This window comes from Homo sapiens, chromosome 17, assembly GCF_000001405.40.
Source record: "Homo sapiens chromosome 17, GRCh38.p14 Primary Assembly".
NCBI classification, from domain to species: Eukaryota; Metazoa; Chordata; class Mammalia; order Primates; family Hominidae; genus Homo; species Homo sapiens.
In genome coordinates, this window is record NC_000017.11 from 2,720,801 (window position 1) to 2,746,284 (window position 25,484).

Consider the following 25,484-nt stretch of genomic DNA (forward strand, 5'->3'; position numbering starts at 1 on the left):
TGTTTTTCAGAGATTTTATTAAGAATAAGGCATATGACAGTCACCCCTAAAGCACAGGGCTCTATTTCTGTGGGTGAGTGAATACACTCTGAAAAGCATTGGATACAAAAGCGCAGCCAACAGAGAATTTGGAGCAGGGTCCCTCTGCCCTGCCACAGGGCTCCTGCCAGGTGGGTTTGAAGCCCTGCACATCCCCCATTCAAGGCTGGCATGTCCAGGAGAAGGTGCTTGGAGACCCCCGGCTCCCCGCGCTTCGAAGCTGCCCCACACCCTCTAGGCCTCCTTCCTCTCTCCACCAGGGGGGACGCCATCCTACTGCTTATATGGGGAAGGGTTATCCCATTTTGGCCCTGGACTAGTCCCCCAAGCTAGAGGGTGCTGTGGCTGAGCTGTGGGGGCCAGGGGTACAGAGCCTCAAACCGCACTGCCCAGTGCTCCCTGGCTGATTTCCAGAGCAGGGGGAGGTCCCCACCTGCAGCTCTGTGTCCTGGAGCTGTCCATACTTGGGGTGTGGCAGGAGCTCCGCCTAGGGACCTGAGTGTCCTCTTCAACACTCTCTCTCCCAATGGGGATTCGTGCAGCAGAGGAGAGAGAAATGCAGTCCTTTCCCTTCTTAGTCACCAAGATATTCCAGGGGCCAGGAGCGCGTGGGGGTGCGAGGTTTCCCTTTGGCCAGGTGGGCTCTCAAGCCAGACCCAGGGAGGGTGGGGCCTCTCCAGGGCCCTGAGGCTGAGGAGAGTTGGGCCCCTGTGGCCAAGAGCGGGCCATGCACTCCAGCTCCCAGTCTCGTTCTGCTGCACAGAGGGTTCTGTGCAGGCGGGTGGAGGGGTTTCCATTATTTCCAGGAGGGCGAGGAGGGGAATTTCTGTGAAAACTGGAACCCTGTATCTGCTACAGGTGCTCCCCCAGCTTGCCTTATTTCCTTTCCCAGGCACCTCCAGCACCTCAGCTGAGAGTCAGTGAGTCAGCTGCCCCAGCACCCAGAACCTTTCATCTAGGGGATCTCCAAGCACCTCACAAACAATTGTCATTATCTGTGGTTGCTGGAAGAGGGATGGGAGTTGGGTGGAGCTGATGGGGTCACTTCGGGAGAAGCAGGCAGGCCACTGGAAGATCCCTGGGACCAGAGTGCGGTGGGGGCCCCTAGCTGGACACCCTGGATGCCCAGGAGGGAAGGGGGAAGGGGGCTATTGCTATAGAGCTGGGGGGAGGCCAGGCGGACGGAGCTATGGCTTTTAGTGGGTGGGTGGGCAGATAGAGTACTTCACCATCTCTGCAGAAGAATCGACCTAACAAAGTCACCCTGTTCACCCCAAAAGTGTGGTCGTGGGAGATGAGGGTCTGTGCACGCTCCTCTGGAAAGAGACTTTGCCCTTCTTCCCACAGTCCTCTGGGCACCTCCGAGAGAGGAGTGAGGCCCTCACACACAAGACAGGTTCTGAAAGGGAGGGGGACAGAATAGGGGTGCAGTGAGTTACACACACTTGAGGGGGGACAGAGATGGTACAGGCGCAACCACAGGACTAGTAGAGAGTAGAGGTGGGGGCAGGCAGAGCAAGGACCCCAGGCCACCTTCTTGGCCCAAGTTGGACTGGAGAGCACTGTCCCAAGGGTGCCCCAACCTCAGCCATCTGCATCCCAGGAGCTGGACACCCCAGACCAGGCGTGGTTATTGCTCAGTGGTCTTGGGCAGTCCCGAGTGGCGTCAGCTGGGAGAGCCGCACATTGCTTGGCCCTGAGTGCGCTCGCTCACTGGTTTCTACTTCTTGCCAATTTCCTGCTCCAACAAATGGAGAGAAAGGGGGTGTGATCTGGGACTCCCCCTTCTTCATGGGGCTGTGATGGGAGAAGAGCTCGTCACCCCTAGAGCTTGACTCTGCTCACCTCCCAGACCCCTGCGTGACAGAATGTGTGGCCTCAGCCAGGGTCAGGACCTGTCAGGAAAGGGGTGTCTGTGAGGGAGGCAAAGGCCTCTCCCTGCCCCACGTCCTCCCCTCGAAGCCCCTGGAAGACCTCACAGGCACTTAGGACTTGATGCAGGACCCACACAGGAGGGATGGCACGGGCTGGAGGGGTTTGTGTTTCCTTCTAGGCTGGGCTGGGGGTGGGGGAATAAGCTGCGCTGAAACTGTCCTTCCTGCCTTTGGTGGTGGACGGGGAGCTTGGGAGAAGGGGCGTTAGGAGGTGGGGCTTTCCCCTTTCCACGTCGCCATTCCCCAGGCTAGACAGCAGGGAACTGAGCAGCCCGCCACTGCCAGATTCTGATAGGTTTAGGGGCATCCGTGGAGGGGGCCAGGATGGGGACTAACCTGTGCTCCCACCATCCCCCCAGCAAACACAAACCCAAACTCCTATCAGTAGCTGCCACTTCCAAGAAGCCAGGCCCTTCTTCTTTTTTTCGTTTTTGAGACGGAGTTTTGCTCTTGTTGCCCAGGCTGGAGTGCAGTGGCGCGATCTTGGCTCACTGCAACCTCTGCCTCCCAGGTTCAAGCGATTCTCCTGCCTCAGCCTCCGGAGTAGCTGGGATTACAGGCGTGCACCACCACGCCCGGCTAATTTTTGTATTTTTTAGTAGAGACGGGGTTTCACCACGTTGGCCAGGCTGGTCTCGAACTCCTGACCTCAGGTGATCCGCCCACCTCGGCCTCCCAAAGTGCTGGGATTACAGGAGTGAGCCACCGCGCCCAGCCAAGGCTCTCTTCTTCTTGTCTCTGGGTGCAGCCAGCTGATTAGGAAGCCGAGCAACATTAGCACCAATAAACAGGACCAGGAAAACGCCTGGGGCTGCCTCCTGAGAAGGAAGACAGCTCCTGCCTTCCAGAAGCCTGGCCAGCAGCAGGCCTGTCACCTCCCTTCCCCAGCAGAGCTCCCAGTCCCTGCATACCCAGCGGGGTGGCGACTCGGGAAGAGCTGAGCTGGAGACGGCTCTAGACCAAGTCCGGCCAACCAGGCGGTTCTGTAATCCTCTCCCAGGGCCCATGGAAGTTAGGCTTCCATCAGGCGCACTTTTCCCACCAGGGGCTCTGGGAGGACGTGTCTTCTAAAGTGTTCCGTGCTCACCTGCAAGGACCTATCGGCAGGGTCAGGGTGGGGGTAGAAGGACCAGCCCCTAGCCTGGGCCTCTCCTGGGGAGGAAGAAGGCTTGGCGGGAAGGGCGTCGGCGCGGGGGTGGGGGAGGCGGGGGGTGGGGAGCTAGAGGGCCTGGGGCGCCAATGCCACTCTGCGTCCCTTTCCGTAGGCGAGCCCAGCCCTCCCCACCCCACCAAGGATTGTCGGCTTTCCCGGGGAAGGGCGTGGCCCCCGCCCCTCCTGTCTCACAGGCAGGTGGGACCAGGCCAGGATCGGGACGGCGAGTCCTCTCGGTAGAGAAGGTGCCCCCGCTCGGCCCCGCGGAGGAACTCTCGCGCGAGGAGAGGGCTCGAAGCTTTGGAAACGTCGGGAAGTACAAAAGGCTGGCGGTTCGGGGATTTGGGGGGAGCCGGGGCCGCCTCGCCCCGCTTCCTGGAGGAGGGGCGGCTGCCCTCCGACCCGGGACCTGCCTGCGGGGACCGAGCTGCGTCCCTGGCCGGCCCTCCCCGTCCGTCCCGCGTCACCCCGGCCAGCCTGGCGCCTACTCCGGGTCCCCGGGCGCGCTGGGCTGGCTGGGCGCGGGCTGCGGGCCGGCTCGGTCCGGGGGCTCCTGGGGAGGCGGCTGGCGCGGGCTGCGGGCGCTGGGCCGCAGCGGCCTGCGTGCATAGAGGAAGAGCGCGGGGTCGGGCATGGGGTCGGCGTCGTCGAGGGCGCCGGCCCCGCGGTCCCAGGCGGCCCAGTCCCGGCCGGGGCCCTTGGCGGCGGCCTCGTGGGCAGCAGGCGGGCGGCGGGCTCGCAGTGCGCGGCGGCGTGGCCTGGGCTCGGCGGTGGCGCCGGGGCCCGGGCGCGGGGCCTGCAGTCTCTGGCGCGCCGCGTGCAGCTGGCAGGAGAGGTAGGCGGCCGCCTCGGTGTGCTTCTGCAGCTCGGTGCCCAGCACGGTGGCGCGGTGGCTGCGGCGGCGCAGCTCCTCCAGGAAGCGGCGCTCCTCGGTGCGCAGGCTGCAGCGCAGCGCGGACACCAGCGCCTCGCGCTGCGCCACCTCCCGCCGCAGCTCCGCGTTGGCCGCAGCACGCGCCTCCAGCTGCGACTCCAGCGCGCGGCACTTGCTCTCCAGCTCCCGGGACGCCGCCTCTGGAACGGGGCAGAGGCCAGAGGTGACGGTCTCCCCCTGGCTTGGAACAGAACCTGCACGGCTCAGAGCTCCGTGTAACAAAACCCCCAGGCCGGGCGCGGGGCCTCATTTCTGCAATCCCAGCACTTTGGGAGGCCGAGATGGGCAGATGGACTTGAGGTCAGGAGTTCGAGACCAGCCTGGCCAACATGGTGAAACCCAGTCTCTACTAAAAATACAAAAATTAGCCGGGCGTGGTGGTGGTGGTGGTGGGCGCCTGTAATCCCAGCTACTCGGGAGGCTGAGACAGGGGACTCGCTTGAACCGGGGAGGCGGAGGTTGCAGTGAGCCGAGATCACGCCACTGCTCTCCAGCCTAGGTGACACAACGAGATTCCGTCTCAAAAAGCAAAAACAAAAAAACAAAACAAAGCCCCACTCCTCCCCACGTCCCCACCTGCACGTCCTACCGCGCTCCCCCTCCTTCCCCACGCGTCGGCTCAGTGGCCTTCCTTGTTCCGCCCTCGTACCTACTCTACCCTCTGCTTGGTCTCTAATTCTTCAGGTTTCAGCTTAAGTGCAAACCCCTTCCTGGCCCTTTATTCATTCCACAGAGAATTTGTGGAGCCCTGACTTTGTGCATTGTGTTAGGTATTGGAGATAGGGCGCATAATAAAACGGTCTCTGTGAAGCTTATTGCATAGTGGGAGAGACATAGTAAATAATCACAAATACGTGTGAGGTTGCAAATGTGACATGTGGAAAGTCAATGCTGTGACTGTAACTGGAGAATGTGACCTCATCAGGGAAGTCTTCCCAGCAGAAGAGACTTGAGCTAAGATCTGAAGGATAAACAGGAGTTAAGTAGTGAAGACAGGAGAGAAGGATGCTGCAGATGGAGGGAACAGCTTGTGTAAAAGTCCAGAGAGCAAGGGACTGAAAGAGCTGCCAGTGTGCACAGGAAGGGAGTCAGTGTCCTTGTTTCCTCCATAGGGCATTTTATCACGTCTTTTTTTTTTTTTTTTTTTTTTTTTGAGATAGAGTCTTGCTCTGTCGCCAGGCTGGAGTGCAAGTGGTGCAATCTCGGCTCACTGCAACCTTAGCCTTACGGGTTCAAGCAGTTCTCGTGCCTCAGCCTCCCAAGTAGCTGGGATTACAGGTGCACACCACCACACCCAGCTAATTTTTGTATATATATATATATTTTTTTTTTTTTGAGATGGAGTCTTGCTCTCTCGCCCAGGTTGGAGTGCAGTGGCGCAATCTTGGCTCACTGCAAGCTCCACCTCCCGGGTTCAAGCCATTCTCCTGCCTCAGCCTCCTGAGTAGCTGGGACTACAGGCGCCCGCCACCATGCCTGGCTTATTTTTTTTTTTGTATTTTTAGTAGAGACAGGGTTTCACCATGTTAGCCAGGATGGTTTCGATCTCCTGACCTCGTGATCCGCCTGCCTCAGCCTCCCAAAGTGCTGGGATTACAGGCATGAGCCACCGCGCCCGGCTAATTTTTGTATTTTTAGTAGAGACGGGGTTTCACCATGTTGGCCAGAATGGTCTTGAACTCCTGACCTCAGGTCATCCTCCCGCCTCAGCCTCCCAAAGTGCTGGGATTACAGGCGTGAGCCACTGCACCTGGCCTCTTTTGTTGTTGTTGAGGCAGAGTCTCACTCTGTCACCCAGGCTGGAGTGCAGTGGCATGATCTCGGTTCACTGCACCCTCTGCCTCCTGGGTTCAAGCGATTCTCCTGCCTCAGCCTCCGGAGTAGCTGGGATTACAGGCACCCGCTACCACACCCAGCTAATTTATTTTTGTATTTTTACAGATGAGGTTTCACCATATTGGCCTGGCTGGTCTCAAACTCCTGACCTTGTGATCCACCCGCCTCGGACTCCCAGAGTGCTGGGATTACAGGCGTGAGCCACCACGCCCAGCCCTTTTTTTTTTTTTTTTTTGAGACAAAGTCTCCCTCTTGCCAGGCTGGAGTGCAGCGGCATAGCTCACTGCAGCCTCTATCACCTGGGCTTGAGTAATTCTCCCACCTCAGCCTTCCCAGGAGTTGGGACCACAGGCATGCACATTTTTTGTAGAGATGAGGTTTTGCCATGTTGCCTGGGCTGGTCTCGAACTTGTGGGTTCAGGCAATCCTCCTGCCTCAGCCTCATAAAGTGCTGGGATTATAGGTGGGAGTCACCGTGCCTGGCCACATGTTTGTCATTTTTTGTTTACTTGTTTATTGTTGGCCTTTGCCACTGCAGCAGGTTTCAACCCTGGATAGACATTAGAACCACCCAGAGAGCTTTAACCAGTGCTGTTTCCTGGGCGCTATGAAAGACCAATTGCACCAGCATCCCTGGAGCTGGACCTGGGAACTGGTGTTGCTTAAATCTTCCCCGGTGGTTCTCACGTGCAGCGTGAGTTGAGGACCCCTGCCTCCTGGAAGCTCCATCTCGGCAGGACCATATCCTAGGACTTGGCACAGGTGAGTGTAGGGACGTAGGCAGCCGAAAGTGGCAAAGAGTGACCCTGGAAGGATGAAAATCACCAAGTGATAAGAGGACAAAGAGGGCTGGGTGCAGTGGCTCACGCCTGTAATCCCAGCACTTTGGGAGGCCAAGGTGGGCGGATCACAAGGTCAGGAGTTCGAGACCAGCCTGGCCAGCATGGCGAAACCCCGTCTCTACTAAAAATACAAAAATTAGCTGGGTATGGTGGTGTGCGCCTGTGATCCCAGCTACTTGGGAGGCTGAAGTAGGAGAATTGCTTGACCCTGGGAGGCGGAGGTTGCAGTGAGCTGAGATCGCGCCACTGCACTCCAGCCTGGGCGCCAGAGTGAGACTCCGTCTCAAAAAAAAAAAAAACGAAAGAGGACAAAGAAAGTTCTTAAGCCCAGTGGGTTGACACACTCATCCCAGTGACTCAGGGGAGGGCTGAGGTGGGAGGATCTCTTGAGCCCAGGAGTACAAAGCTGCAGTGAGCTATGATTCTGCTACTGCACACTACAGCCTGGACAACAGAGCAAGATCCTGTCTCTAAAAAAAGAAAGAGTTCTCAAAGCCCATTGAAAGAGCCAGGCACAGTGGTCGTGCCTGTAATCCCAGCACTTTGGGAGGCTGAGGGGGGCAAATTGCTTAAGCTCAGGAGTTCAAAACCAGCCTGGGTGACATGGCGAAACCCCTCTCTACAAAAAAGCTGGGCATGGTGGCATGTATCTGTAGTACCAGCTAATCTCGAGGTTGAGGTGGAAGGATCTCTTGAACCCACCTAGGAGGCAGAGGTTGCAGTGAGCAGAGATGGTGCCATGGCACTCCAGCCTGGGTGACAGAGTATGTCTCAAAAAAAAAAAAAAGGCCAGACGCGGTGGCTCATGCCTGTAATCCCAGCACTTTGGGAGGCCGAGGTGGGTGGATCACGAGGTCAGGAGATCTAGACCATCCTGGCTAACACGGTGAAACCCGTCTCTACTAAAAATACAAAAAATGAGCCGGGCGTGGTGGCGGGCGCCTGTAGTCCCAGCTACACGGGAGACTGAGGCAGAATGGCGTGAACCCGGGAGGCAGAGCTTGCAGTGAGCCGAGACCGCACCACTGCACTCCAGCCTGGGCGACAGAGCGAGACTCCGTCTCAAAAAAAAAAAACAAAAAAAACAAAAAGATGAAGACATTGGATTGGGGCAGTGGCTTGGGCCCAGGTGATCTCAAAAGCCCTTTCAGATAAAGGACAGTAAGTGGGGTGAAAGTGGCTGTGTCACAGAACTGTCCTAATCTAGTGTCTGGGGCATGTGCTGCCTTCCTCCAGCCACCTAGGCACCAAGAGGTTGCCTGTGGTTGTCCTCTAAAGAGGGCAGGATTAGTCCAAGTTCGTAAGTGTTTAGATGGTCTGTAACTGATCTTCATGCATGAATACACAAAGCAGTTTCTAGGGTTCCTAACATCATAGCTTAAACTTCCAGCCTGTAGCATTTGATCTATAAGCAATACATCAGTATGGAAGAGAGTCTGTTCTTAAGAACTCTTCTGGCCAAGAAAGACTTTTTATGATTCCTTTTAACATTTTTTTAATATTAAAAAAAAATGGTAGGGACAGAGTCTTACTATTTTGTCCAGGCTGGTCTTGAACTCCTGGGCTCAAGTGATTCTCCTGCCTTGGTTTCCTAAAGTCTTGGGATTACAGGCGTGAGCCACCACACCTGGCCTTGTGATTCATTTTTAATTAAATAGTTACTATGTCCTGGCCAGACTCGGTGGCTCACACCTGTACTTCCAGCACTTTGCAAGGCTGAGGCGGGTGGATCACCTGAGGTCAAGAGTTTGAGACCAGCCTGGCCAACATGGTGAAACCCTGTCTCTACTAAGAAATACAAAAAATTAGCCGGTGGATGGTGGTGTGCGCCTGTTGTCTCAGCTACTTGGGAGGCTGCAGCAGGAGAATCACTTGAACACGGGAGGTGGAGGTTGCAGTGAGCCGAGATCGTGCCACTGCACTCCAGCCTGGGCGACAAGAGCGAGACTCCGTCTCAAAAAAAAAAAAAAAAAAAATTACTGTGTCCCTCCAAGTCAGGTAACGTGCGTTATACTTCAGAGACAATGGGTAACACTCAGTCCTAGTTCTGAGATCTTATAATCTGATGATAAAGATCTCAAGAATGCAATTAAAAAATTAATTGTGGGGGAAAAAATGACAAAATTTAGCATCTTAACCATTTGTAGGAGTACCATTCATTACTGTTAAGTATATTCATGTTGGGGTGCAGCAGATCTTTAGAACTTTTTAATCTTGCAAAAGTAAAAGTCTACACCCATTGAACTCCCCCAGCTCCCCCATGTTATGGGTGAAGTAAACAAATATTTTAGAGGAATTTCTACAATGGCAAGAAGTCATGCTTTTGTAAAATGCAGGATTTACTAATGTGTGTGTGTTTCTTTTCTCGTATAGAACAAGTTCCTTGAAGTCAAGGAACCCATCCTGACATGCATCTTGACACTCGGCCTGTGATCACTCAGTTCAGTGAATCTTGACACTGACCATGTGATCACTTGTGCCAGGATGGGAAGGACTGGGGAGGTGGGTCACAGCAAGGAATTAAGCAGGCTAAGGGGAAGTAAAGCCACATTACCATTTCCTTCATGCCTTACTTTCCTCACTTTGGACAGAGACATGGATACAGGCTACTATGTGTGGTGGTGCAGGTTGTTCACTGCACAAGGTCATCCAACTGAGGTGGTGCAGGTTGTTCACTGCACAAGGTCACCCAACTGAGGTGGTGCAGGTTGTTCACTGCACAAGGCATTTCACAATGTCGTCCACTGGGCAAGTGTGGCTGACATCCTGCACTCTGCTCACCAGCCAAGGAGTGACTATCCCCAAGTCTAGGCTGGGGACAGAGAAGGTTTGGGTCCTGCAAAGGGCTGGGAAAAACTCCAGCTGTTGGGCCCCATGACGCTTCCCCACCAGTGGTCCTTCTCTTACCTTGCTGGTGAGATTGGGCCTCTCTCATTTCCAGGTCATGGGTCAGTTCTGGGGGGAAAGAAAAGAAAAGGCAGTTTGTGTGTGTGTGTGTGTGTGTGTGTGTGTGTGTGTGTGTGTGAGAGAGAGAGAGAGAGAGAGAGATCATGGAATTACAGCTCAGTAAAGTGGCAATAAGGATCTTTAGAAGCCACCTCCACACTATTTTACCGCAACCCTGCAAGGGAAAGAGATGAAGAGATGTGTCCAGGGCACAGCCTGAACCTGGCCAGCTTGACTCCAAGCTCAGAAATCTTCCCAGCTCCAGCTTTGAGCCTGGGTTCGGAGTTTAGTTCACCCCTCGTGGGACTGAGGAGCCTGGCTTGTTTTGGGGCTGGGGGACTATCTGCCTTTCCTGGGGTGATATGCCAGCCAGTCAAAGCAGTTCTGGAGGACCCTTGCCGTGCAGGGCTTTGACCCTTTCGTGTTTAGCTGATGGCCGCTGGAGTGTCCAGAACTGCCTGGCGGCACTGGAGGCAGGCTCGGCAGTGGCTACTTACCAGTCTGGACACTTGCTTTTCACTATTTTGACAGCCAGTACCGCTGAGCCTGTGTTATTACCTGAACATCAGCGCTGCCCCTTCCCAAGCCCCAGTTGCGCCGTATTCCCCACGGCAGGGAGAAGGGCTTCGAGCAGGACGGTGCGGTCTATTGATGGGGGCCGGGCTTGGCACTGAGGGGGTGGAGCGGGCAGCCTAGGAGCCACTCAAGGGCACTGGTGCAGGAGCAGTTTCCTCCTGGGTGCTGCAGCCCAGCTGCCACCCCTCTGCCTGCCTGTCCCCCCAGTCTCCATTCCTTAGTGTCCCCCAAGCCCCATTTCTCAGCCCAGGTGAGTTTGATAATTTTTCCAGCCCCACCCCCACTCCCCCAACTCCACCAGGGCTCAAGAACTGGTACAAGGGCAGAAGGAAGCCAGAAGCCACAGCTGCCTGTGATGCAGACCGACTCGGGGGCACCTGTGTACACCTGCAGGGACACAGTCTGGTGTCCACGGGGAGGAGGTGTGAACCGGGGGTTGGGGAAGGAAGGCGGCACATCTCTGGGACCACCACCCAGCAGCGCCTTCAGGGGCCTTGTGACCCCTCTGCCCCTCCTCCTCACTGCCCTCACCGGCTCTTCCAGAGACCCAGGGCTTTGCCAGAGGTGCCTTCTCTGAGGAGGCCGGTTGTTGCTTGGAGGCAGGCAGCTCAGGGTGCCTGAGCCTTCTGCTGTTACCAGAGTCTGAACCTGTTCCCTGAGGCACCTGTGAGGACTCTGATGCTTCTACCTCCAGGGCTTCCTGGGACCAACTGGCCCCTCCTTCAAGGCCTTGTGATGTAGCCCAGGGACCTTGGCCTAGGTTCAGGGATTTGGGAGCAGGGATACCTTGGCTCCGCCATTAACTCCCTGTGGGTGGTTTCTCTTCAGCCTTTCAACACAGGACTTGGGGGTAGGGAGATAAAAATCTCAGCTGGGCTATAGATGAGCGTGCTGTGAGGTCAGATACGCTGTGTGACCTTGGGCCAGTAACAGCACTTCTCTGAGCCTCAGTTTTCTCGTCTGGAAAATGGGGGCACAATAGCACCTTTCCAAGAGGCTGTCGCCAGGATTAAATGAGAAAAAAACAGCGGGCTTGGCCCAGGGCTGAGTTGGTGCTGAACGCGTGTGAGCAGTTCTTATCAATCAGGCTGCTTCGCCACCCCAGAACGTACCCACCTCTCAAGCCCTTCATTCTGAGTCCTCACCCATCCTTAGCCAGCTCCCTGGGCAGCCTATCCCTTCAGCTCCTACACCAGCCTCTCCTCTCTCCCAACCGCCTCCCAGCTCTGGGTCCCTCTTTAATCTCCTTCCCCTTATCTTCTCCCTTCTCATCACCTCCTCCTTGGGGGAAAGGCCTTATTCAGTCATTTCAGCCCCAAGAGTGGCTGCTCTAGCCTAGCCTAGTTATTTTCATCTCCTTAATAACCTAGAGGTGGCTGGGCGTGGTAGCTCATGCCTGTAAAGCCAGCACTTTGGGAGGCCACGGTGGGCAGATCATCTGAGGTCAGGAGTTTGAGACCAGCCTGGCCAACGTGGTGAAACCCCATCTCTACTAAAAATACAAAAATTAGCCAGGCATGGTGGCGGGCACCTGTAATCCCAGCTACTTCGGAGGCTGAGGCAGGAGAATTGCTTGAACCCGGGAGGCAGAGGTTTCAGTGAGCTGAGATCGTGCCACTGTACTCCAGCCAGGGCAACAGAGCAAGACTCTGTTGTAAAAATTAAAAAAAAGGCCAGGCACGGTGGCTCACGCCTGTAATCTCAGCACTTTGGGAGGCCGAGGTGGGCGGATCACGAGGTCAGGAGATCGAGACCATCCTGGCTAACACGGTGAAACCCCGTCTCTACTAAAAATACAAAAAATTAGCCGGGCGTGTTGGCAGGCGCCTGTAGTCCCAGCTACTCGGGAGGCTGAGGCAGGAGAATGGTGTGAACCTGGGAGGCGGAGCTTGCAGTGAGCCGAGATCACGCCACTGCACTCCAGCCTGGGCGACAGAGCAAGACCCTGTCTCAAAATAAATAAATAAATAAAAATAAATAAATAAATAAATAAATAAATAACTAGTAAAAAAAAAAACCAAGGGGTTTCAGGCCCATACCCATCTGAGAAGCATGGCGTGGGTGAGGGCGCTCTGTTCCTGCCTGCTCCACATTTTGGGATCTGGCCCGTGTCCTAAAAAGAGCCACAAGTTCTCAGAATTAGGGCAAAACAGAAAGAAATGACAGGAGCTGCTATGGTGTCTTAGGGTTTCCTCTTCTCTTTTTTTTTTTTTTTTGAGACGGAGTTTCACTCTTGTTGCCCAGGCTGGAGTGCAATGGCATGATCTCGGCTCACCGCAACCTCCGCCTCCCAGGTTCAAGCGATTCTCCTGCCTCAGCCTCCCTAATAGCTGGGATTACAGGCATGTGCCACCACGTCCGGCTAATTTTGTATTTTTAGTAGAGACGGGGTTTCTCCATGTTGGTCAGGCTGGTCTCGAACTCCCGACCTCAGGTGATCCGCCCGCCTCAGCCTCCCAAAGTGCTGGGATTACAGGCGTGAGCCACCGTGCCCAGCTCCTCTTCTCATAATTTTGTTATTGCAATGAAAAGGTGGCATCAGGCAGGGCTGAGATACTTGGGCCATTCTTGTCCCCCAGGCTGGCCTCTGCTCCCGTCCAATCTTCAGGGGAGATTAGAATGTGGCGGCTGACCCTGTCTGTGGAGCCTTAGGAAGCTGTGATGGCTGAATCAGGACCACTGGCTTTTTTTTTTTTTTTTTTTTTTTTTTTTTTGAGACAGAGTTTCACTCTTGTTGCCCAGGATGGAGTACAATGGCAACCATCTTGGCTCACCACAACCTCTGCCTCCCAGGTTCAAGCGATTCTCCTGCCTCAGCCTTCCGAGTAGCTGGGATTACAGGCGTGCACCACCACGCCTGGCTAATTTTTTGTATTTTTAGTAGAGACGGGGTTTCGCCACGTTGGCCAGGCTGGTCTTGAACTCCTGACCTCAGGTGATCCACCCACCTCGGCCTCCCAAAGTGCTGGGATTACAGGTGTGAGCCACCGTGCCTGGCCTCCAGCTGGATTTCTTATCTGTCTCCTTTAAGTGATGCTTTATCCATCAACTAGAACCTTCCATGAGCTTTTGGCTTCCCACCTTTCGACCTTTGCCGTGCTGTTCCCTTCATCTGGAATACTCTCTTCACTCCCCTTTCTCCTGTGATATCTTGGCATGTCCACATGTTACGCAGCCTCCAGGGAGTTGAAGCACCCCCTCCTCTGGGGAGCCTCGGAGGCTGGGCCTCCTCCTTCAGCACCTGCTCCTCAAGCTGGACATGCTCCTGCCCATGAGGTCCTGCTTGATTTCTGCTCTACCTTAATACCACCAGTTGGCCTGTGTGTCTCCCTAGCTAGACCGAGGGCTGGGAGTTGCTTGGTGAAGAGTGACTCGGAAAGGATGGGAACCTCCAGGATTTGGATCCTAGGAGTCCTCCACTCCCTAACCAGAGCTTTTTTTTTTTTTGAGACAGAGTCTTGCTCTGTCATCTAGGCTGGAGTGCAGTGGCGTGATCTCAGCTCACTGCAACCTCCACCTCCTGGGTTCAAGCGATTCCTCTGCCTCAGCCTCCCAAGTAGCTGGGACTACAAGCGCCCACCACCGTAACCAGCTAATTTTTTGTATTTTAGTAGAGATGGGGTTTCACCATGTTGTCCAGGATGGTCTTGATCTCCTGACCTCGTGATCCGCCCGCCTCGGCCTCCCAAAGTGCTGGGATTACAGGTGTGAGCCACCGCGCCCAGCCCTAACCAGAGCTCTTTGCTGTGAAACTTTCAGATGTTTCTAGAACTTTTCCAACTTCTCTGTCCATCTCACCTCCCCAAGTCCCAGTTTCCTTAATCAGAAAAAGAGGCAGCAGAATCGGTGCAGTGTGAGGCTCACGGGGGCTGTTGGTGGGCACAACCCAGAGACAGTGGTTGTGATGATGACAGTGACCTCTCCCCACCCGTCCAGCCGCCTCTCCTGGCCTCACCTGAGCAGCGTTTCTGCAGCCTCAGGATCTCCAGGTGCAGGTCTCGCAGCAGGGCCATCTGCTCCTTTTTCAGGAAGCTGATGTGGCGTTGCACGCTCTGGATCTGATGCTCCAGGGACACGGTATCCATGGCAACCCAGGCCTGGGCCCCACCTAGGGAGGACGACAAGGTGAACCCACCTCTTCTGAGCCCATCTGCGCTGCCCCACCCTCAGCTCTTTCACTGTCTCCTCCGCTCTAGGTCCTGTTGCCACCAGGAAGATGATTCTGCCACTGCTGTCACCTCCACACTATTCCTTCATTCAGGCTTCATGAAGAAGCAGGGGAGTTGGCAGGAAAGCATCATTACTCTCATTTAACACATGGAGAACCAGAGGCCCAGAGGGCAATGGCTTCCTTCTCCTGTTCCCATGTAACTTTTTTTCTTTTTTTTGAGATGGAGTCTTGCTCTGTTGCACAGACTGGAGTGCAGTGGCACGATCTTGGCTCACTGCAACCTCCACCTCCTGGGTTCAAGCAATTCTCCTTCCTCAGCCTCCTGAGTAGCTGGGATTACAGGCAGCTGCCACCATGCCCGGCTAATTTTTGTATTTTTAGTAGAGACAGGGTTTCACCATGTTGGCCAGGCTGGTCTTGAACTCCTAACCTCAGGAGATCCATCCGCCTTGGCCTCCCAGAGTGCCAGGATGACAGGTGTGAACCACTGTGCCCAGGCCCATATAACTTTAGCCTCTTCTACTTCTCAAACAGGAAAACAAATGGAGTGGCAAAGTCAGTAGAGAGACAGAGAACCTGGGTTCTAGCCTGCTCCTCCCGCCCTAGCAGTGTGACCTGGGTGAGCCCTTTCCCTCTGTGGGCTCTCAAGTTTCTCAGGGGTAAAATGAGGGAGATGTGGAGTGAGTGAGCCCTAGAGTCTCTTCCAGTTCTGACACCCTGCAAGTATCTCAGCCCAAGGGCTACATGGCTGTTCTGAATATTATTCTCCCTTAGTTCAACTCCACTTCAACTTCACCACAGTCCAGGGCTCCAGGCTCCTCCAAGTGGCAGAGGAGGAAGATCTGGTGAATGTTTCACTAACACTGACTCTGGGCTGAAGGCAGGTGGTGGAGTCCCTTTGTAAAAGAGAAAGGCGGGCCGGGCGCGGTGGCTCACACAGTAATCCCAGCACTTTGGGAGCTTGAGGTGGGAGGATCACAAGGTCAGGAGTTCAAGACCAGCCTTTCCAACATGGTGAAACCCCGTCTCTACTCAAAATACAAAAATTAGCCAGGCTTGGTGGCACGTGCTTGTAATCCCAGCTACTCAGAAGGCTGAGGCAGGAGAATGGCTTGAACCCGGGAGGCGGAGGTTGCAGTGAACTGAGACCATGCCACTGCACCCCAGCCTGGGCGACAGGGTGAGACTCTGTCTCTAAATAAATAAATTAAATTAAATTAAATTAAAGAAATAGGCCAGCCGTGGTGGCTCACTCCTGTAATCCCAGCACTCTGAGAGGCTGACGTGGGAAGACTGCGTGAGTCCAGGAGTTTGAGACCAGCCTGGGTAACAAAGTGAGATCTCGTCTCTAAAAATATATATCCATAGGCCGGACTCGGTGGTTCACGCCTGTAATCCCAGCACTTTTGGAGGCCAAGGTCGGCGGATCACTTGAGGTCAGTTCGAGACCAGCCTGGCCGACGTGGTGAAACCCCATCTCTACTAAAAATACAAAAAATTAGCTGGGCGTGGTGGGGCAGGTGCCTGTAATCTCAGCTACTCGGGAGGCTGAGGCACAAGGATTGCTTGAACCCGGGAGGTGGAAGCTCCAATGAGCCAACATTGCACCACTGTACTGCAGCCTGGGCAACAGAGTGAGACTCTGTCTCAAAAAATAAATAAATAAATAAATAAATAAATAAAATACATACATACATATAAATAAATACAATAAAAAAGAGAAATAGGAGAGGGGAAGAGAGACTCATGCAGTGACTCCCATGGCAGAACTTTGAGTTGCAGTGATGGATGAGAGCCATGCATCCCTGAATCCTAATGATGGCCTGGCTTTCCAGCTCTGCTGCTTCTGGCTCCGCCCCCTTCCCCATGACTCTGTTCTGTGATAATCAGCATCTTGGACAAGCAGAGGCAGACCGCGAACACTGGAGCCCAGGACTTAGAGCTCCTGCTTTCTCAGCCAAGGACTCCCTAAGCTTTGGAGGAACCTGCCTTCACCTGCCCCTGGAATGTCCTGGGCAGTGGGAGAGACAGGCCAGTAAGATGAGTAATTCTGTTCACCAAATGGTCCCTTCCAGACTAGCTTACATGTAAGACTCAGAAAAATCCAGATTTTCATTTGTGGGGTTACATCGAGCAGGTCCCCCTGAGAACTCCAATCCTCAGGGCACTCCTCTCTCTGGGCCCCTTTCTCTGGTACTCCCCTGACCCCCCTAATCCAACCAAATAGGCCTTTCTTTTTTTTTTTTTTTTTTTTTTTTTTTGAGACGGAGTCTTGCTCTGTCACCCAGGCTGGAGTGCAGTGGCACGATCTCGGCTCACTGCAAGCTCCGCCTCCCAAGTTCACGCCATTCTGCCTCAGCCTCCCGAGTAGCTGGGACTACAGGCGCCCACCACCACGCCCGGCTAATTTTATTTTTGTATTTTTAGTAGAGATGGGGGTTTCACCATGTTAGCCAGGATGGTCTCGATCTCCTGACCACGTGATCCACCCGCCTCGGCCTCCCAAAGTGCTGGTATTACGGGCGTGAGCCACCGCGTCCAGCCATCCAAATAGGCCTTTAATTTCAGCAAGGGGTGGCCCTTTGGCCTGTGGGGATCGCTGGCTACATGTGCTGACCATCTGCTATGTTCAGGGAACATTATACACATGATCTTACTTCTGCCAACCACTCTTCAGCGGGTATTACCACCCCACCCCACTTCACAAAAAAGGGCTCTCGTACCGCTTCACACGCTCAGTAAGGGGTGGCAGAGCCAATTCTCCAACCAAGTCTTACGAATCCAGAGAAGGTTCCCAATATTTACACGAATATTTACACTGGGAACAGTCCTAGGTTTGAATCTGTCACCCAGGCTGGAGTGCAGTGGGGCAATGGTAGCTCACTGCAGCCTCAAACTCCTGGGCTCAAGCAATCCTTCCACCTCAGCCTCCCAAGTAGCTAAGGTCTACAAGTGACTGCCACCATGCCTGGCTAATTTTTAAAATTTTTTGTAGAGACAGGGTTCTCTACACCCAGGCTGGTGTCCACCTCCTGGCCTCAAGCAATCCTCCCACCTTGGTCTCCCAAAGTGCTGGGATTACAGGCATGAGCTGCTGGATCCAGCTGATTTATGGCTCTTTCAGTTACCTGCTGTGAGACTTTTGGCAAGAAAATTAACCTCTCTGAGCCATTTTCCTTCCCCCTGTAAGATGGGGCTGCAAATCCTACCATCCTAGGATAGTTGTAAGGATTAAATGAGATAAGAAATGTAAGGCCTGGGCTGGGCGCAGTGGCTCACGCTTGTAATCCCAGCACTTTGGGAGGCCGAGGCGGGCGGATCACGAGGTCGGGAGATCGAGACCACGGTGAAACCCCGTCTCTACTAAAAATATAAAAAATTAGCCGGGTGTGGTGGCGGGCGCCTGTAGTCCCAGCTACTCGGAGAGGCCGAGGCAGGAGAATGGCTGAACCCGGGAGGCGGAGCTTGCAGTGAGCTGAGATCGCGCCACTGCACTCCAGCCTGGGTGACAGAGCAAGACTCGTCTCAAAAAAAAAAAAAAGAAAAAAGAAATGTAAGGCCTGGCACAGTGGCTCACGCCTGTAATCCCAGCACTTTGGGAGGCTGAGGCGGGTGGATCACCTGAGGTCAGGAGTTTGAGACCAGGCTGACCAATATGGTGAAACCCTGTCTGTACTAAAAATACAAAAATCAGCCGGGCATGGTGGCATGCACCTGAAGTCCCAGCTACTCGGGAGGTTGACCCAGGAGAATCGCTTGAACCCAGGGGGCAGAAGTTGCAGTGAGCTGAGATCGAGCCACTGCACTCCAGCCTGGGCAATAGAGCAAGACTCTGTCTCAAAAATAAATAAATAGGGCGGGCGCAATGGCTCACGCCTGTAATCCCAGCACTTTGGGAGGCCAAGGTGGGCGGATCACGAGGTCAGGAGATCGAGACCATCCTGGCTAACATGGTAGAACCCCATCTCTACTAAAAATACAAAAAATTAGCTGGGTGTGGTGGCGGGCGCCTGTAGTCCCAGCTACTCGGGAGGCTGAGGCAGGAGAATTGTTTGAACCAGGGAGTCAGAGGTTGCAGTGAGCTGAGATCGCGCCATTGCACTCCAGCCTGGCGACAGAGCGAGACTCCATCTCAAAATAAATAAATAAAATAAAAATAAACAAACAGGCTGGGCGCGGTGGCTCATGCCTGTAATCCCAGCACTTTGGGAGGCAGAGGCAGGCAGATCAGGAGGTCAGGAGATCAAGACCATCCTGGCTAACACAGTGAAACCCTGTCTCTACTAAAAATACAAAAAAAATTAGCTGGGCGTGGTGGCGGGTGCCTGTAGTCCCAGCTACTGAGGAGGCTGAGGCAGGAGAACGGCGTGAACCCGGGAGGTGGAGCTTGCAGTGAGCCAAGATTGCGCCACTGCACTCCAGCCTGGGCTACAGAGCAAGACTCGTCTCAAAAAAATAGATAGATAGATAGATAGGTGATAGATAGATAGATAGAATAAAGAAATGTAAAGTGCTTAGCACAGGACGTAGCTCAGTCAATGCTACCTCCCTTCTTCCTCTTCTTCTCTGTCCATTTAATGTCTGAGTAGGTTAATTCCTGTCTTGATTTGCTCACTTTCTCATTCACTCATTTAGTGATCTACTATTGCCAAGCACTGTCCTGGGTTTGGGGAACACGGTAACGAACACAGTGAAGTCCCTGCTCTCATGGATCTCACGGGGTGAAGAGAAGAGAATCAAACACATAATGTGTCAAACAGATAATACAAATAAGGATAGAATTACAATCTGTGATAAGGGCCACTAAAGAGACCTACAAGGTAATGTGAAAGAATAAAGAGGGGAACCTGCTTTAGATTTGAGGTGAGGAAAGTTCTCTTTGGGGAAGTAACTTTTAGGCTGTAACTTTCTGCCTTGTGACAGGCAGAGTTCCAGGACGGTCCCCAAGATTCCCAGCCTCTGGTATGCAGCTGCTCTGCTCGAGTGTGGGTGGGCCTGCGCGTATGATGGATTTCACCCCTGTGATTAGGCTATACACAAAGGTAAAGGGATCCTGCAGATGTAATTAAGGCCTCCAATCAGTTGACTTTGATTTAATCAAATGGAGATTATTCTGGGTGGGCCTGACCTAATTAGGCAAAACCCTGAGGCTGGGCACGGTGGTTTATGCCTGTAATCTCAGCACTTTGGGAGGCTGAGGCAGGCTGATCACTTGAGGTCAAGAGATCGAGACCAGCCTGGCCAACATGGGTGAAATACTGTCTCTACTAAAAATACAAAAATTAGCTGGGCATGGTGACAGGCGCCTGTAATCCCAGCTACTCAGGAGGCTGAAGCAGGAGAATCACTTGAACCCAGGAGGCGGAGGTTGCAGTGAGCCGACATCGTGCTACTGCACTCAAGCCTGGGCGACTGAGTGAGACTCCATCTCAAAAAACAAACAAAACAAAAAACAAAAAAATAAGAGCCCCGAGCAGAGGACCTAGTTTAAAAATGGTAGACTAAGGCCAGACGCAGTGGCTCACACCTGTAATCTCACCACTTTGGGCAACATGATGAAACCTCGTCTCTACAAAAATACAAAAATTAGCCAGGCATGGTGGCATGGGCCTGTAGTCCCAGCTACTGGGAGGCTGAGGTGGGAAGATGGCTTGGGCCCAGGAGGTCAAGTCTGCGGTGAGCCATGATTGTGCCATTGCACTTCAGTCCTGGTGACAGACAAAGACCCTGTCTCAAAAAAAAAAAAAAAAAAAAAAAAAAAGAGCCAGACTCCTGGGCTTAGACATTGTAAGATAATAAATGTATGTTGTTTTAAGCCACTATGTTTATGATAATTTGTTACACAGCGATAAAAAACTAATACAGACTTGAAGGAGGGGTAGGACTTAGAAGAATGAAGGGAAGAGCACCTCCAACAGGGAACAGCATCTGTGAAGGCACAGAGGTAGGAAAGAAGTAAGTGATCACAATGATAGCTTACATTTACAGAACGCTTACTATGTCTCAAACTTTCTGCTAAGTGCTTCACGTGGTCTGTCTGAGAAACAGACATTGCCGCTGCTAGTAAGGGCTGAGGTGAAAGGTACTGAAGGAGGGTCGCAGGAAGGAAGGTTAGCAAGAGTAGGTTCACATGGCGTCTTGAAAACCATGTTAAGAACTTTTGGGCTGGGTGCGGGGTCTCACGCCTGTAATCCCAGCACTTTGGAAGGCCAAGGCGGGCAGATCACCTGAGGTCAGGAGATCGAGACCAGCCTGGCCAACATGGCAAAATCCTGTGTCTCTACTAAAAATACAAAAACTACCCAGGCGTTGAGGTGTCCACCTGTAGTCCTAGCTACTTGGGAGGCCGAGGCAGGAGAATCTCTTTTTTTTTTTTTTTGAGATGGAGTCTCGCTCTGTCGCCCAGGCTGGAGTGCAGTGGTGTGATCTCGGCTCACTGCAAGCTCTGCCTCCCGGGTTCGCCTCATTCTCCTGCCTCAGCCTCCCGAGTAGCTGGGACTACAGGGGCCCACGACCGCGCCTGGCTAATTTTTTGTATTTTTAGTAGAGATGGAGTTTCACCGTGTTAGCCAGGATGGTCTCAATCTCTTGACCTCGTGATCCGCCTGCCTCAGCCTCCCAAAGTACTGGGATCACAGGCGTGAGCCACCGCGCCCGGCCAGGAGAATCTCTTGAAACCAGGACGCGGAGGTTGCAGTGAGCCGAGATCACGCCACTGCACTCCAGCTTGGGCGACAGAGCAAGACTCCATCTCAAAAAAAAAAAAAAAGAACATTTAATATTAAGTAAATTTGGAAGTTCTTAAAGGATTTTAAGCAGTGGAAGAACATGATATGATTTGCATTTTTTATTTTTTTTGAGACGGGATCTCACTCTGTCACCCAGGCTGGAATGCAGTGGTGTAATGATGGCTCATTGCAGCCTCCAACTCCCAGGTTCATGCTGAGACTCTACCTCAGCCTCCCAAGGAGCTGGGACCACAGGCTCGTGCCCCCGTGCCCGGCTAATTTTTCACTTTTGTAGAGATGGGGTCTCACTATGTTGCCCAGGCTATCCTTTGCATTTTTAAAGTATCACTCTGGCGGCTGTGGGGAGAGCAATCTAGAGCCAACAGAGTGGATGTGGGGAGGTCAGCTGGAAGAATAAAGCAGTGGTCAAGGTGCCAGGTGATGGTGGCCTGGATGAGATGATGGAGGTGAAGGCGGAGAGTGGTCCTAGGTGTATTTTAGTGGTAGGACTGGCAGGACTTGGAGATGGATTGGATTAATTCATGATGATAGGGAGGGGGATGGCTAAGATATCTCCAGTTTTCCAGCTTAAGCAACCCAAGAATGAAGGCATATTTGCTAGATCTTTCCCCATTTCATCCTCTTTCACCATGAATCTCTTCTTTATCTATAATCACTCCCTGGGTGTTCTTGTCCCATCCCATGGCTGTAAATACTATTTATATGCTATTGACCGCCAAAATAACTCTTCCCTGGCTGCTAGACTGATGACCTAACACCTCCATTTGGATATTCAGTGAGGATATCCCTCAAACTTTCAAGTCCCAATACTGAACTTGCATTCCCTTCTGCAAACCAGGTCTTGACCACTGTTCGCCATCTTGATAAACCACATTGCTGTTTGCCCACTCATTCTGTTGCTCAGGCCAAAACTTGGGAGTCATGTTTGATTCCTCTCTTTCTTTATATTCCATAGTCAATCCATCTGCAAATCCTGTTTGCTCTACCTTCAAAAAACATATCCCAAAGCCAGTCACTTCTCACTATCTCCATCGTCATCACCCAAGTCCAAGCCAAAAACATCCTTCTGGTGTACCATTGCAGTAGGCTCCTGACTGTCATCTCACTTCCATTCTTGCCCCTTGTTTTCCATGCAGGAGCCAGAATTCCTTTAACAAATATAAGTCGGGTCAGGCACGGTGGCTCACGCCTGTCATCCCAGCACTTTGGGAGGCCGAGGCGGGAGGATCACCCAAGGTCAGGAGTTCGAGACCAGCCTGGCCAACATGGTGAAACCCTGTCTCTAAGAAAAATACAAAAAATTAGCCGGGCATAGTGGCACATGCCTGTAGTCCCAGCTACTTGGGAGGCTGAGGCAGGAGAATCTCTTGAACCCGGGAGGCAGAGGTTGCAGTGAGCCGAGATCTCACTGCTGCACTCCAGCCTGGGTGACAGAGCGAGACTCCGTCTCAAAACAATAACAAAAACAAATATAAGTCTGATCATGTCTCCCCAAACCCCACTCAAAATCCTCTGTGTGGCTTTCCATCACATTTAAAACAAACCCAAAGTTCTTATGAGCCCTTGCACAGTCTTCCCTGGCTCCCTCTGTCCTCATCCTGCTGGTTCCACCCCAGCCACTCCGACCTTGCTTCTTCCTGAATGTGCCCAGCACACTCTTGCCTCGGGGACTTTGTACATGCTGTCCCCTCTGCCAGGAATGCCCTTCACCAAGATCTCCTCAAGGCCTATTCCCCTCCTTCATTCAGGACTCTCCAAATGTCAGCTCCTCAGGGACTTGCTCTCATCACCCAATTTAAAATAGAAGCTTTTGTTACTCTGCATTCCCTTAATCTGCATTATTTTTTCTTCCGTGAATGTATTACCACATGAATATATTAACTTTTTATTTTTATGTATTTTTTTTTATTTTTTTGAGATGGAGTCTGGCTCTGTTGCCCAGGTTGGAGTGCAATGGCGCGATCTCAGCTCACCGCAACCTCCACCTCCCGGGTTCGAGCAAATCTCCTGCCGCAGCCTCCCGAGTAGCTGGGATTGCAGGTGTGCACCACCATGCCCAGCTAATTTTTGTATTTTTAGCAGAGATGGGGTTTCACCATGTTGGCCAGGCTGGTCTCAAACTCCCGACCTCGTGATCCAACCACCTCAGCCTCCCAAAGTGCTGGGATTACAGGTGTGAGCCACGGCGCTGCACCCGGCCTAAATTTTTTTTTTTCATTTTTTATTTTGTAGAGACAAGAGTTTCACTGTGTTGCCCAGGCTGACCTCGAACTTCTAGTCTCCAGCAATCTTCTAGCTTTGGCATCTCAAAAGTGCTGGGATTACAGGCGTGAGCCACTGCGCTGCACCCGGCCTAAATTTTTTTTATTTTTATTTTTATTTTTGTTTTTGTAGAGACCAGAGTCTCACTAGGTTGCCCAGGCTGACCTCGAACTCCTGGTCTCAAGCAGTCTTCCGGCTTTGGCATCTCAAAAGTGCTGGGATTACAGGCATGACCTCCTGCTTCCAGCCCCCGGTTTTTGTTTATTGTCTGTTTCTCCTGCCAGATTGTTAGCAACTGAGATGAAGGACATTGCTTTGGTTCCTCCTTTTCCTTAGTACCTAGCACAGTATGTGGCAAACAGGAAGTACTCAGTAAACATCTTTAGAGTGGGTGAAGTTGTGGGGATGGGGTAGACTGATGGAGAAGCAGATTGACACAAGGTAAGATCAAGATGCCATGTGTTAGGGGTGATATACCCAAGAGACCTCAAACAAGGAGAAATAGATGTCAAGTAGGCAGGTCAATATACTGGTGCAACCAGGCTCAGTGGCTCATGCCTATAATCCCAGAACTTTGGGAGACAGAGGTGAACAGATCGTGTGTGCCCAGGAGTTTGAGACCAGCCTGGAAAACATGGTGAAACCCTGAAACCCCGTCTCTACTAAAGATACAAAAATTAGCTGGGCGTGGTGGCGTGTGCCTGTGGTCCCAGCGTGGAGGCTGAGGTGGGAGGATTACTTGAGCCCGGGAGTTTGAGGCTTCAGTGAGCCATGATTGCACCACTGCATTCCAGCTTGGGTGACAGACAGTGAGACCCTGTCTCAAAAAAAAAAAAAAAAAAAAAAAAGATAAAATAAAAACATAATAATACACTGGTGCATAACTCAAGAGAAACAGGTGAGCTGCTGACTGTGAGTCTATGTCAGGGTTTGTGTGCTTGCGTATCTGTATGTGTGCCTGAGCCTGCGTGTGTGCCTCAAGGAGTACGTGTGTGTGTTTCCCGATTCTCTTTGCTGCTGTGTGTCTGCTGTGCGCACATCTGGAGGATGAAGGTGTGTGGGCCTGTTCTTAGGATAAAGAGAGAAACGTCTGTTCCCAGCCACTGAAATGCAAATGTTTCTGAAGAGTAAAAACCCTTCCCACACAGCTCTGGAGACTGGACCCTGGCCACCGTGAGAGACTGAGCCAACCAGCTGTTTCTGTGCTTTCCCAGAACGACTTGAGTATTTGCTTCCAACTAGGCAGGCTGCTTTTCTCAGGGAGGAAATTTGGGTCACAAACGATCTTGGCAAATATTCTTTCTTAGACGTTATTGTTTAGTTTGTTTGGGGGAGGGTGGGAGATAGAGTGGGGAAGGGAACTAGTGACAACAAAAATCTCTCTGTCTGGCTGGGGAGTTGCAGGCACTACTTCAGAAGGCCTAAGCCAGGAAAACGTCCGATTTTCCCATCAGAAATGCAGTCCTGGAACATCTGGCCTTCAGAAGCTCATGCCCGAGGACTTGACCCAGGCCAGTAACAGTAGCTGAAGGGCTGGAGCTGTCAGCTCCATCTTTCCCCCCGACACAGCACTAGATGTCCAGCCTCCTGAGTGAACACACTCGGGGAAGAGGTCACACTCCTCTGTCCACTGTCCTGAGCACCTCAGAGCCTGCATTGTTTCTGCTTCCCTCCTTCTTCTGGTTCTCTGAGTTCTTTTTCCTGTTAATTTTCTCTTCCCCTTGTCCTTCTCCTTCTCCTTCTTTTTTTTCCCCCCGAGATGGAGTTTTGCTCTTGTTGCCCAGGCTGGAGTGCAATGGCACAATCTCGGCTCACTGCAACCTTCGCCTCCCCGATTCAAGCGATTCTCCTGCCTCAGCCTCCCAAGTAGCTGGGATTATAGGTGCCCACCACCACGCCTGGCTAATTTTTGTATTTTTAGTAGAGACGTGGTTTTGCCATGTTGGCCAGGCTGGTCTCGAACTCCTGACCTCAAGTGATCCATTTGCCTCGGACTCCCAAAGTGCTGGGATTACAGGTGTGAGCCACCGCGCCCAGCCTTT

At 52.8% G+C, this 25,484-nt stretch overlaps 1 protein-coding gene across 5 annotated transcripts in view; it reads right to left on the reverse strand.

Moving 5' to 3' along the window:
* CCDC92B (coiled-coil domain containing 92B) overlaps positions 1 to 25,484 on the reverse strand; it is a 28,852-nt gene continuing 3,368 nt past the window's right edge. Inside the window, exons 2-5 of one of the 5 annotated variants that reach the window (XR_002957942.2) lie at positions 14,216 to 14,368; positions 9,646 to 9,693; positions 2,885 to 4,200; positions 1 to 1,438 (exon numbers count right to left, since the gene is read on the reverse strand). Coding sequence is in view for 2 of the 5 variants with exons in the window: in NM_001355573.2 (NP_001342502.1) it covers positions 3,611 to 4,200; positions 9,646 to 9,693; positions 14,216 to 14,345 (768 nt within the window). In the remaining 3 variants the exon portion in view is untranslated. Of the gene's footprint in view, positions 4,201 to 6,390; positions 6,703 to 9,645; positions 9,694 to 14,215; positions 14,369 to 25,484 lie in introns of those variants that run through there. The other 4 variants (XR_002957941.2, XR_002957940.2, NM_001355573.2 and 1 more) reach the window with 4 other exon arrangements.